At 37.8% G+C, this 14,450-nt stretch overlaps 1 protein-coding gene across 36 annotated transcripts in view; it reads right to left on the bottom strand.

The window, feature by feature from the left end:
- PAK3 (p21 (RAC1) activated kinase 3) overlaps positions 1-14,450 on the bottom strand; it is a 282,965-nt gene that overhangs the window by 66,129 nt on the left and 202,386 nt on the right. For all 36 annotated transcript variants that reach the window (NR_136747.2, NR_136748.1, XM_047442148.1 and 33 more), the window contains 2 exons: positions 13,343-13,496; positions 8,786-8,823 (listed from right to left, as the gene is read on the bottom strand). Coding sequence is in view for 34 of the 36 variants with exons in the window: in XM_047442148.1 (XP_047298104.1) it covers positions 8,786-8,823; positions 13,343-13,496 (192 nt within the window). In the remaining 2 variants the exon portion in view is untranslated. The remainder of the gene's footprint in view (positions 1-8,785; positions 8,824-13,342; positions 13,497-14,450) is intronic.

Raw genomic sequence — 14,450 nt, 5'->3', positions numbered from 1 at the left:
AAAATGCTCATCATCACTGGCCATCAGAGAAATACAAATCAAAACCACAGTGAGATACCATCTCACAACAGTTAGAATGGCGATCATTAAAAAGTCAGGAAACAACAGGTGCTGGAGAGGATGTGGAGAAATAGGAACACTTTTACACAGTTGGGGGGATTGTAAACTAGTTCAACCATTGTGGAAGTCAGTGTGGTGATTCCTCAGGGATCTAGAACTAGAAATACCATTTGACCCAGCCATCCCATTACTGGGTATATACCCAAAGGATTATAAATCATGCTGCTATAAAGACACATGCACACGTATGTTTATTGTGGCACTATTCACAATAGCAAAGACTTGGAACCAACCCAAATGTCCAACAATGATAGACTGGATTAAGAAAATGTGGCACATATACACCATGGAATACTATGCGCCACAAAAAATGATGAGTTCATGTCCTTTGTAGGGACGTGGATGAAGCTGGAAACCATCATTCTCAGCAAACTATCACAAGGACAAAAAACCAAACACCACATGTTCTCACTCATAGGTGGGAATTGAACAATGAGAACACATGGACACAGGAAGGGGAACATCACACACCGGGGACTGTTGTGGGGTGGGGGGAGCGGGGAGGGATAGCATTAGGTGATATACCTAATGCTAAATGATGAGTTAATGGGTGCAGCACACCAACATGGCACATGTATACATATGTAACAAACCTGCACGTTGTGCACATGTACCCTAAAACTTCAAGTATAATAATAATAAAAAATAAAATAAAATAAAATAAAATAAAATGTGGCTAGCCTGAATTGAGATGTGTTTCAAGTGTAAATTACATTCCAGATATTGTATACTTAATATCAAAAAATTGTAAAATGTTAGATTAATACTTCTTATATTGATTATATGTTGAAATGCTGAAAATTTGAATATATTGGCTTAATAAATATATTATTAAAATTTATTTCACCTATTTTTTACATTTTAATATGTGGTTACTAGAAAATTTAAAGTTATGACTATAGTTTATATATTTGTTGGACAGTGCTATTATAGGTGTTTTGTTTTGTTTTGTTTTTGTGTATTTATTTTGTTTTTGTTTATGCCACTGGGTATACTGTCCTAACATAATCCGACAATGAATTTTCATTCTTTGAGGACAAAGCTCCTGAGGCAGTTATAGGCAGCCTATTAATAGACCATTACATCAAAGGACCTCAATTGTGATTAAAAATTCAATGTGGCTTTTCTACAATCATGTATAAACCTATGGTGAAGTAATAAGGTGTAATCACACATCTGATAGGAGCCAGAAAGACTTACCAATTGTGAGAAGAAAGCCAACCTAGAATTTATAAACAAGCATTTGAAAGAATATTTTATTGCCCTGATATAAATGCTAAGTGGTTTATAGATTGAAGTTTGTATGTTTACTGAATATTGGTTTTCTTATTTATGCACCTATATTTATTCTTAATTTAGCCATAACAACTGGGCTATTATATTGTATAGCTATGTGGATAGCAACATCTGTTAATGACATTAAGTTTCCAGATTTTTAAAAAATCACTTTCTTCTTGCAAAACACTAATTCTTCAGGGCATTTCAGGGGGCACAGGGAGAAATGGGCTTTGGGTTATCGAAATTTGCTTTGATATTATGTTCCAGAAAGTTTTGCCCTATCTTACACCAGCTGGGTTCAAGAATGTACCTAATCACTGTTTCTTTGTAGAAGGATGGAAGCTGAGTACTTTTTTATATGACAAATGGTGCTATTTTATCTATTAGGCAATACGAACCTTGCCCAGGGTTGATAAGTTTTACATGGGCCCGTGAAAGTGTTTGCCATCAGAAATAAATCATCAGCTCCAAAAAGCCACAAGAAAACTATAAAGTCAAAATTAATTAATGTTTAATTAAATGTCTGTTAAGTATAACAATATGCCAACTTAACTAGTCTCTTATGTTTAGCATTTAAAGAAATTTCATTATATTAAATATAAATTGTAGGTTTGATTTTCATATTTAGCAAAAATTCTTGAGTATTTACAATGATTTAACAAGAAATTATACCTAACCATACATTTTAAAAGTTACTTGTAAGTAAATAATTTCAAAATTAATATGTCAAAAATAATTTCAAAAATTTACAGCAAAAATATAAAGTGAAGTATGGGGGCCCTTTAATATGTTTAAAGCAATGCATGATGTGACCTCTACAAGTGAGAGTATATACAGTCTATTAGGCTCTAAAAACGGCCCTAGAGGCAAAAAGAATGATTCAAGGTCTAGTCTTCTTGGCCCAAACCTTAAACTGGTACAAAGATCAGTCTGCCTACTGGGGCAAGGAGCAGCCTTACACATTTCAAGTCTTAATACTTCACTAGATAAGATCCACCTGCAAGATTTCACTGACTGTTAACATTCATTACTATCTTCACTGCTAACTTCCAGTGGAAACCATTCCCCATCTCCAAGGATAGACTTAAGGGACTATTAGAAAACCTGAAGGTTTTTGTCCTCTGAAGGTTTGTGGGAAAAGAAAAAGACAGATATTTCTGTTTACTTTGGACCAAACACTATCCTGCCATATTGGTTGGTTGACTTGGAAGAATGTATGGCATTGAGTGGATAGTATGTTTTGAATTATGGTTGGGCCAGAGAGCATTAAATCCCCAGCAATCCACCAAGGATAGCAATCTTTGGTACTGAGAACTGAAATTAACAATTTCTGTCCCTGAGTTAAAAAATACTGGGATTAGGCGTACTTTACTATCACTGTGTAAATAGTACTGGGACTGGGCATATTTTATTTTCCCTGTGTTAGTCAATATCAAGACAGACATACTTTAATGTTCTTATATTAAACAATAGTGAGAATAAGCAAAAATAACATAGCTTCTTACTTTAGGAAATACTTGTTTCTAGAAGATACCGTGAACCAACTAGTTTGCTCATTGAGACTAACAGCTTGCTCACTAAAACTTGCTTCAAGCCCCTTCCTTTGCTATATTCACCAATACAAAGCTATGTTATCATAAACACTGCATAATCTTAACCCATTCCTCGCCTTGCAAGACCTGCTTTAAAATCAAACAGTCTAAGCCCTAAAACCCTATAAATATTCCCTCCTGACATCCCCTTCTTAAGACACAAAGACTTTATCAAAGTAATGCTTTTATGTCACTCTAAGTTTAATAAACATAGCTTTACTTAGAGGTTTTCCTGGTGATCATTTTTGGAGTCAATGGTGCAATGTTTCCATGCTCTTCATTCCAGGCTGAGAATTACTGTATCTAAAACTTCTAAACTTACAGAAATATAGATAGATGGATAACAAGTAAGGAATATTTTTGTCTTATCAAATTAGATATTTTTGACACTCTAATTTTGCTAGACATTGGGGCAGAGAATGTAGTTCTTTTTTTTCTTTTCTTTTTTTTTTTTTGAGATGGAGTTTCGCCATTGTTGCCCAGGCTGGAGTGCAATGGCACGATCTCTGTTCACCACAACCTCCACCTCCTGGGTTCAAGCGATTCTCCTGCCTCAGCCTCCCGAGTAGCTGGGATTACAGGCATGTGCCACCACGCCCAGCTAATTTTGTATTAGTAGAGATGGGGTTTCTCCACGTTGGTCAGGCTGGTCTCGAACTCCTGACCTCAGGTGATCCGCCCGCCTCAGCCTCCCAAAGTGCCGGGATTACAGATGTGAGCCACCGCGCCTGGTCGGGAATGAAGTTCTTAACCTGAGTTGGGTCCCGGACTCTTAGGGTTTGGTCTATCTCCCCGGAAAGGTACAGGTAGACACATGCTCTTATGTATAACTTCAACAGTTCATAGATCTGAAGCCCACCCATGAACTCCAAGTTCTGAACGTTGCTCTAGAGAATACACCAGCTAGAGTAGCTACCTTAGGAAATTTCCTTTTCTCTGAGCTTAATTTTTAAAGGTCAAAGAACTTAGAAGTAAGGAACTTAGAGGCTTTAGATAATATAAAATGCTGTTTGGGGGCCACTTTTGGTGATTGTTTAAAATGTAGATTTTAGGTTTCTACTCCAGATCTACTCTGGGAGTGGAGCCCTGGAATCTGCAATTTAACAGAATCCCCATGAAATTCTGATGCACACTGAAGTAAAAGAATTACTTAAACTATGTTTAAAAAAAATTAACCAGTACTGCAAATCACAAAAGAGCAATCTGTCAACTGCACATCCAGTTGCTCTAAGCATAGATAATGGCACGTTCAATATGACAAAACAATAATGACATATTATTGCTGTTACCTTCCAGTTGGAATACTAACTTAGGATTCTAAATATGTCATTTTATTTTCAACAGTACGATAAAAATATGAAATTTTAAAATTAGCCTCAAATTAAAGAGTAGAGACTTGAACAGTATTTGAAATTGAATACACTAATATCAAAGAAGCTACCACAAATAAGCAGTAAAGCAGGTGTTATATGACTATGAGATCTATCCCTGAGTTCAATATTAATTACAGAATCATGAGTTTAAAACACTTAGAGAATGCAACATTGCTTCTGTTTTAATTCTCACCCAGGCTACTAAAGGATGCAAAACTTGTAATCAATTCAGGCTATGTCTACAAGGGGTTGTCAGACCCATTAAATCAGATTTTGTAGACAGCCAGATCTACTGGGAGTTTTTATGATGCAAAAAGACATACACATTGCGAAGCATACTCTCCTCTAGAACTATAAGGAAAACACAAGGTGCAGTTATCCATTCCTAAGGAACTGAGTCCCACTGAAGTAATTCAAATAGAATGTCGGGGTCCAATTCAGTTCATTCAATCAATAGAAACCTAGCCTTCATCAAGCAGTCAATCCATTATTTTCACCTGAAAGTCCTGCCAGCCCTTCAAACTCAAACTGTCCAATAAGGAACTCAGCATCTTCCCACAGAAATTGGCTTCTCCTGAAAGACAGCATCATTATCTTTTTACCCACGACCTATCAGTTTAAGCCTGCGTTTATCTTTGACCTCACCCTTTCCTCCAACATCCAATTAATAATCTAAATACCTCTAGAAATTGAATGTAATCTCCCCATTCCTACTGTTACTACCTCATTTCTGGCTCAGATTACCTGGATGCTTGCAATATTCTCCCTACTAGTCTCCCTTCATCCAGTCTCACCATTTGTACTTAATTCATTCTGGACATTTGCCGTCAGATTACTCTTCCCAAGGTATAAGTGTTAATCACTTAACTCTCCTGCTCCAAAACACTTCAAAAGCTTCCCACTGAATACTGGAAAGCCAGATTCCTTGGAGTACCATTTAGGGGCCTGTATGATTTGGTTCCGCCTTAACCTTCAAGACTTATTTCCTGATTCCCTTTCTCGCATCTCAGTTTTCATTCAACCCCATATTCCTTGTTTCCTTGCTCTACTCACCAACACACCCTTTCTTATGCTTTTCTTTTTACTTAAAATGCCCTTCCCATCTTCACAGATCGAAATCTCATCTGACCTTTAAGATCTAGCTCAAATGCCAACTTTTATATGAAGCATTTTCTAACTTAACATTCAACAAATACATACCAAGTATCTATTTGGTACCAGACACTGAGCTTCAGCCCTTGGAGACAAGGGCCTGCTTCCCTTTCCCTCCCCAGCTAAAAGCAATCTACTTTCTCTGAAATCTCATAGCATGTCAACATATTTTATGATATGTAATACTATCCATATTGTTGGGTTTTTTTTTTTTTTTGAGACAGGGTTTTGCTCTGTCACCCAGGCTGGAGTCCAGTGACACAATCACGCCTCACTGCAGCCTCCACCTCCAGGGCTCAAGTGATCCTCCCACCTCAGCCTCCAAAGTAGTTGGGACTGCAGGTGTGCACCACCATGCCCAGCTAGTTTTTGCATTATTTGTAGAGACAGGGTTTCACCATGTTACCCAGTTTGCTCTTGAACTCCTAGGCTCAAGCGATCTGCCCACCTAGACCTCCCACAGTGCTGGGATTACAGGCATGAACCACTATACTCAGCCACTATCCATACTGTATTGTACTTCTTTATGTCCATGTTTACCTTCCCCTACCAGCCTGATATCCAAACTTCCTAGAGCTTATAAGGAGGCAGTTGGTAAATATATGTTAAATAGGTAAATATCTATTTGTTTTATCTCCAGACAGTGAGATCATCATTTTTTTTTCTAACTTAATGGAATATTTTAGCCATAACATAGACTTCATTTTAATTCTACAAGCAAAACCAATAGAACCAATCTCAAAAGAAACAGTTAATATCTTAGGAGAAAACAAAAACCAATACACAGGCTATCCTAGCAAGTTGGTGTTTCAAATAACTGACCAACCTAAAAAAATAATAACTATTTTTTTTTTGCCAGAATACCCAGTCAAGATTGCACAAGCATGATATTAATGAAGTCAAAGGAGGTAAAGTATGTGTTGATCATGGAAGGCTGTCATTTTTGTCCTTTCCATTTTCCTATTACCTCCCTTCACATGTTGTTTTCAGTGTGGCCCAGGAAGCTGTCATGGCAAAGAAGGAGGAAAAGGAAATGGCCAGTCAGATGAGAGGGCCATATTCTGTTCTGTTTTGGGGAATCTGAGCAAAGCGCAAGTACAAGCTTCATGTGTGAAGAGAGTGAGTTTTTCCTCTTGTTGTCATGTAAAAATAATAGTAGTTTACATTTAATAAATATATATTATGTGCTAAGTACTATACTAAGTACTTTATGTACATTATCACATTTAATATTCACACAAGACGTAGGAGGTAAGTACTATTTTTATTCCCTCTTAAAGCTGAGGAAAGAAGCTCAGAGAAGCTAAGCTAGTTTCCCAATGTCACATACTTAGTAAATGGGGAAATCAGATTAAATACCTACATCCAGAGCCTTCATTCTTTCTTTTTTCATTTTATTTTTAATTGTAGCAAAATATATATAACATAAAATTTACCATCTTAACCATTTTTAGGTATGTATTTCAGTACTGTTGAGGATATTGTTGTATAATCATCAAAGCCATTCATCTCCATAACTCTTTTCATCTTGTAAAACTGAAACTCTGTACCCATTAAACAACTGCCCACTCCCCCTGCTCCCAGCTCCTGGCAACTAGTATTCTACTTTCTGTCTCTATGAATTTGACTCCTCTAGGTACCTCACATACGTGGAATCATACAGTATATACCCTTTTGAGACTGGCTTATTTCACTTAGCATAATGTTCTCCTGGTTCATCCATGTTGTAACGTGTCAGAATTGTCTTCTTTTTAAGGCTTAATAATATTCCACTGTTTATACATACCATCTTTTGTTTACCCCTTCATCTGTTGATGGACACTTGGGTTGCTTCCACCATTTGCCTACTGTGAATATTGCTGCAATGAACGTGGGTGTATAAATATCTCTTGGAGACCCTGCATTCAATTATGGGTATATACCCAGAAGTGGAATAGCTAGATCATATGGTTAATACCATTTTTAATTTTTGAGAAACTGACATAATATTTCAGAACCTTTACTCTTTACAACTAAAGAAGATCTACTGGTGTCATACTGGCTACCCAGGGTGATGTCAAGCAGACATCTGTCCACTATAAAAGGCATTGGTCTGCTATAAAAGGAAGAAGAATCAGGTTGGCCATCCATGACTGTTTGAATAAATGGTTAGGAGACTTTCAGTAATGCAAATTATTTCACCCCTAAAAAAACAAATGAGGCAGGAAGTAATTTCTATCAGAATATCAAAATGAAAATCACAGAAAGGGAAGCCTTATCTGAGATCATTTTCTGTCTAATGTGTACAAATATTCTTTCAGATACTATAGCACTTTCAACAACTAGGTTACTTATTTTCTAGTCACTTCTCTGATAAAAATTATCTATGTGACTTTGGACAAAGGCACTTCCCTCCCTGTATCTCAGTTTGTTGGAACAAGTGACATACAAAACGTATACTGTTATAACCTTAGAGAAGTTATTTAATTTCTCCAAACCTCAGTTTTCTCACCTGTAAAATGGGGACAATGGTAAGACTTACTTAACTGGGCTGTAGGAAAGATTAAGTACCTATAAAAATAAAATTATCTTACAGTTTATATTATAAGTGTACACTGTAGGTGTTCAGAGAAATTTCTATTAACATGATTATTATTCTCAAAGTTCTACATGTAAGAGAAACAGAAACATTGTCCACATAAAAACCCTGTACAAGAATGTTCCTAGTAGCTTAATTTGTAATAGCTAGCAACTGAAAATTTTCTAGAGAGCCTTCAATGTTTGAATGGTTAAACAAACAGTGGTACAATCATACCATGGAATACTCAGAGATAAAAAGGAACACAAATTATTGATATACACAACAACTTGGATTAATCTTAAAATAAATAAACTGAGTTAAAAAAGCCAATCCTCAAAAGTCACACGCTGTATTATTTCATTTACATGAAATGTCCAGAAAGCCAAATCCATAAAGGCAGATTCCATATTAGTTCTTGCCTGTGACTAGGGTGGGGTGGGTGGAGTTAACTGTAAGTAGGTATGAAGGATTTTACTGGGGTGATGGACTTGTTCTAAAACTCAATTGTGGTGATGGTAGCATAGGTATATACATTTACCAAAACTCATTGAACTGTTTACCTGAAAATAGGTGAATTTTATATAAACTGAATTATACCTTAAAATTGTTTTTAAAAGACTTTATATCTAAAAACTGGATCTGTGCAGTTATATTCTCTTAAATCTTTGGAAACACCAATCATGTGAAACAGTTTTCAATTTTTCACTTACCGAAGGATGGGCTGCTATGTATCCATGTGCACTTTTATCTGCAAAGTGAGAATAGAGAGGTCATTTTTGTTTCATAAAGAATGTTTCATTCAGAGACCACACCAGAAAAATAAAAATTAAAAAACTGCATGATTTCAACTAGAAGGAAATGCTCCAATTTAGTATTAACTAGATATTATGACTAATGACATAGCTTTTCTTAAAATAGCTCACACCATTACATCCTCACCATATTCTCACCAGGTCATTTTGCAGATATTAATGAAGGCCTCCAGTGAATCTCATTTATATGGAAGAATGACAAGATTACCTACTCTTAACAGGTATGATTCTGTACATCTATAGTAGTCCCCCCTATCTGAAGTTTCACTTTTTGTGGTTTCAGCTACCTGTGGTCAACTGTGGTTCAAAAATATTACATCAAAAATTGCAGAAATAACCAATTCATGAGTTTCAAACTGCATGCCATTCTGAGTATGATAAAATCTCACGCGGTCCTGCTCCATTCCACCTGAAATGTGAATCATCCCTTTGTCCAGTGTACCTACTCTGTTTACACTACCAGCCTATTAGTCACTTAATAGCCAGTTTGGTTATCAGAACAACTGCGGAGCTATCACAGTGCTTGTAGTCATGTACCCCTTATTTTACTTCATAATGGCCCCAAAGAGCAAAAGTAGTGATGCTGGCATATTGTTATAATTGTTCTACTTTATTATTGGTTATTGTTGTTTATCTCTTACTGTGCCTAATTTATAACTTTATCACAGGTAAGTAGGTATAGAAAAAAAACATGATATACATAAGGTTCAGTACTATCCATGGTTCCAGGCATCCATTGGAGATCTTAGAATATATTCCACATGGATAAGTGGAGAACTACTCTAAATCTAGGATTTTTCCCACTTTCTTCTCTCCCTACCTCCTTTCCATTCCTTCTTTCCACCTTCCTGTGCTATCTTCATCTTCTCTTCCTATTCAGTTAGTCAGTCCCAATACCAGAGCATTCAGAAAACCTATGATGAGGTACACTCAGCTCAGTACAGTACAACTGTACAGTTGAGTTTTAATATAGTTGTCAGGATTTCATCTTTGTAAGTTGAGAGAAATTTGGCATATAAAACTAAGTGTTAAACAGCAATGGCTATTTGGAGTAAAGAACAAACTCTGATACTCTAAAGTGTATTCTTGGTTACAGTGAAATGATTTCTTGAATACATTTTCAGTTCTGGTTGCCTATGGTTCTAACTTGGAGCACAGCTCTTGATTTTCTCACATGAAACATTTTTTGATATATCACCAGGATCTCTTAGATATTTTATTCTATGTGGAAGCTTAAATATAGTAAAAAGTTTCCCTTGATGGCTTTCTTTTTAGGTTTTCAACATTGGATAACAGCAGTTAAGCAATAGTCCAATTTAGCAGTTTGGGCTTTGATATTTGATATGGCCAAATCAGACACTCTTCCCTTTCCAAGGGTATCCTTGGATCATTCTCAAAGAAACTTAAAGCCTGCTTATACTAAATCCAGTGCGAAGAGGTAAGGGCTCTTTATAGCTGTAGTACTAATGATAATACTCCCTTCATTCTTTAGATGTTAATAAGTTAATAAATTATTGTAGAGAGAGAACTCAAATCATCTATCTCAAAATGTGAAAGTATTATTTGGTATATATATTTCAGTTGCAGATATGGTTTGCCTGTGTCCCCACCCAAATCTCAACTTGAATTATATCTCCCAGAATTCCCACGTGCTGTGGGAGGGACCCAGTGGGAGGTAATTGAATTATAGTGGCCGGTCTTTCCCATGCTATTCTCGTGATAGTGGATAAGTCTCACAAGATCTGATGGGTTTATCATGGGTTTTTGCTTTTGATTCTTTCTCATTTTCTGTTGCTGCTGCGATGTAAGAAATGCCTTTTGCCTCCCACCATGATTCTGAGGCCTCCCCAGCCATGTGGAACTATAAGTCCAATTAAACCTCTTTTTATTCCCAGTCTTAGGTATGTCATTATCAGTAGCATGAAAACGGACTAATACAGTAAATTGGTACCAGTAGAGTGGGGTGTTGCTAAAAAGATACCCAATAATGTGGAAGAGACTTTGTAACTGGGCAACAGGCAATTGGAACAGTTTGAAAGGACACAGAAGAAGATAGAAAAATGTGGGGAAGTTTGGAACTTCATAGAGGCTTGTTGAATGACTTTGTCCAAAATGCTGATAGCAATATGGACAATAAAATTCAGGCTGAGGTAGTCTCAGATGGAGGATGAGGAACTTTTGGGAACTGGAGCAAAGGTGACTCTTGTTATGTTTTAGCAAAGACACTAGCAGCATTTTGCCCCTGCCCTAAAGATGTGTAGAACTTTGAACTTGAGAGAGATGTTTTAGGGTATCTGGTAGAAGAAATTTCTATGCAGCAAAGCATTCAAGAAGTAACTTGAGTGCTGTTAAAGGCATTCAGTTTTATAAGGGAAACAGAGCATAAAAGTTTGGAAAATGTGCAGCCTGACTATGCGATAGAAAATAAAAACTCATTTTCTTGGGAGAAATTCAAGCTGGCTGCAGAAATTTGCATAAGTGGCAAGGAGCCTAATATTAATCCCCAAGACCATGGGGGAAATGTCTCCAGGCCATGTCAGAGAACTTCACAGCAGCCCCTCCCATCACAGGCCCATAGGCCCAGGAGGAAAAACTGGTTTTTTGGGCCAGCTCCAGGGTCCCCGTGCTGTGTGCAGCTTAGGGGCTTGGTGCCCTGTGTCCCAGCTAATCCAGCTTTATCTGAAAGGGGCCAACATACAGCTTGGGCTGTGACTTCAGAGGGTGGAATCCCCAAGCCTTGGCAGCTTCCACGTGGTGTTGAGCCTGCATGTGCACGGAAGTCAAGAATTGAGGTTTGGGAACATACACCTAGATTTCAGAAGATGTATGGAAATGCCTGGATGCTCAGGCAAAAGCTTGCTGCAGGGGTGGGGCCCTCATGGAGAACCTCTGCTAGGGCAGTGCAGAAGGGAAATGTGGGCTCAGAGCCCACACACAGAGTCCCTACTAGGGCACTGCCTAGTGGAGCTGTGAGAAGAGGGCCACCGTCCTCCAGATCCCAGAATGGTAGATCCACTTACAGCTTGCACTTTGCACATGGAAAAGCCGCAGACACTCAACAGCAGCCTGTGAAAGCAGCCGGGAGGGAGGCTGGACCCTGCAAAGTCACAGGGTAGAGCTGCCCAAGACCATGGGAACCCACCTCTTACATCAGCGTGACCTAGATGTGAGACCTGGAGTCAAAGGAGATCATTTTGGAGCTTTAAGATTTGACTGCCCTGCTGGATTTTGGACTTGCATGGGCCCTGTAATCCCTTTGTTTTGGCCAATTTCTCCCATTTGGAATGGCTGTATTCAACAAATGCCTGTACCTCTATTGTATCTAGGAAGTAACTAGCTTACTTTTGATTTTACAGGCTCGTAGGCAAAAGGGACTTGCTTTGTCTAAGATGAGACTTTGGACTGTGGACTTTTGAGTTACTGCTGAAATGAGTTAAGACTTTGGGGGACTGTTGGGAAGGCATGATTGGTTCTGAAATGTGAGGGCATGAGATTTGGAGGGGCCGGGGCAGAATGACATGGTTTGGCTGTGTCCCCACCCAAATATCAACTTGAATTGTATATCCCATAATTCCAACATGTTGTGGGAGGGACCCGGGGGTGGGTAATTGAATCATGGGGGCTGGTCTTTCCCATGCTATTCTCATGATAATGAACAAGTCTCATGAGATCTGATGGTTTTATCGGGGTTCTCCACTTTTTTCCTTCACATATTATCTTGCTGCTGTCATGTAAGAAGTGCTTTTCACTTCCCACCATGATTCTGAGGTCTCACCAGCCATGTGGAACCGTAAGTCCAATTAAACCTCTTTTTCTTCCCAGTCTTGGACATGTCTTTACCAGCAGCATGAAAATGGACTAATACAGTTGCTTATAGTGCAAATTTGAACATCAAAGCTCCAAGAAAAGACTAAATCTACACACTAGCAAATAAGGTCAAGATTTGGCAGTAACATGGATATTTCAGTTTCTAAAAATAGTCACACATAGTTTTCTCTTTTCAGTCTGATTTGGGGGTCTTAGCAAAATAACCTGACACCAAAAAAACAGTGTGCTGTGTCATCATGGTGTAAATCAATGAATCTAAGGGACAAAGTAAATTTCCAGAGAGCATGGTTTCATACATACAACTCTTACTTCATGAACATATAACAAAGCCCAGTAAGTGACTGAGTGTCTTTATGACAGTAAAGAGACAACAATTGTGACTACCAGTTCAAGCTCACAACTACTCCTTCACTAAATAATTACCTTATTTTGATTCTAAACATACTTGAGTTATATAACTTAACATCAACCTCAAATTCCAACTCATTTTTTGGTTTCCTTATGTTGATGTCATTTGAAGAAGGTACTAGAATCGATTTCAAATGTCCCACAGACATTTTGTTCTCAACATGACACTCTGAAATTGAAATTACTTTTTCACCTTTGATACCACAGACTTCCTCTTACCTCCTGATGTAAAGCTCATGTATTTCTGGTTGTTGACTGTTTCTTTGGAATCATAGAATTTGAGAACATCTAGAACAGCTTGTGGGTTCTTCTTCTGTTCCAATTTTGTTATGTTGGAAGTTTGGAGTAATCGTGCCCATTGCTCTGGAATTCCCTGTGGACAACCAAAGGGAAAGAATGGTAGCTCAGAACATTCTGCAGCAGCATTTTTATGTTCCAGTAAAGTTCTTCACCAAGAAGCCCATGCTACCTGTAGGATTACACTTGGGAAACTGAAGTTACATTCTAGATTTAAAGTTAGTAACTTAATAATGCAATCATTCTCTTCTCTAATTAAAACACATAGGTAAAACTAGGATCCAACTTAAAAAGGGTGGGTGGGAGTATGACTGTGATAGAAAAAAAAAAGCGCATGAAAATCACCTCCATATTGACTCTGCTCATCCATGAAATGATGTTTACGGCTTAGCTTATTTTTTTTCTGGCGACTCAGGGCAGACATAGCAAGACTTCTCTAAATTTGTGCACAGCATAGTAAAGTGCAGATCAATGGATTTTATGACTGGAATAACAAGCTGTTTCTGGTCATGTTGTAATCAGAATATATTTTAGAATAAAAGGAAAGGATCACCCTTGGTCAGGTTATACTTTGTGATTACAAAATGTAATTTTTTGGGTCTAGCGCTTTACTATAAAGGCAGGTTGGTAGGAGACAAAAATAGAATTGTGGAGGGGCAAGAACCACTGAGATGCTAAACAGTAACATTAATGCTGCTTTGGGCATTTCCCCTGCAGCTTTCTCCAGGGCATGCCCTCCTTCTCCTCTCCTCTCTCTCTCCCTTCCTCCTTACTTCATTTATAGGCCACATAGAACCTGGGGACTATGAAAACCACGACAAAGCCTTGTGATAATTTATAATAATCTGAAGCATTTAGAGCAGAGAGGAGGGAATATTTGGAAATCTAACCAAGGAGAATTGCAAAAATTAGAGGTTAGCTTTGCATTGAGCATTCAACATTCTTTCCTACATGTCCAGCCTACAGAAGTCCCAATTTCATAATTATCCAACCTCCAAGAGCAACTTGGAGAGAGAAACAGACACACTAT

The sequence above is a fragment of the Homo sapiens genome, chromosome X (assembly GCF_000001405.40).
Source record: "Homo sapiens chromosome X, GRCh38.p14 Primary Assembly".
Classification (NCBI taxonomy): domain Eukaryota; kingdom Metazoa; phylum Chordata; class Mammalia; order Primates; family Hominidae; genus Homo; species Homo sapiens.
Note: the sequence above shows the minus strand (reverse complement) of the source record. Positions and strands in the feature narration are given on the sequence as shown.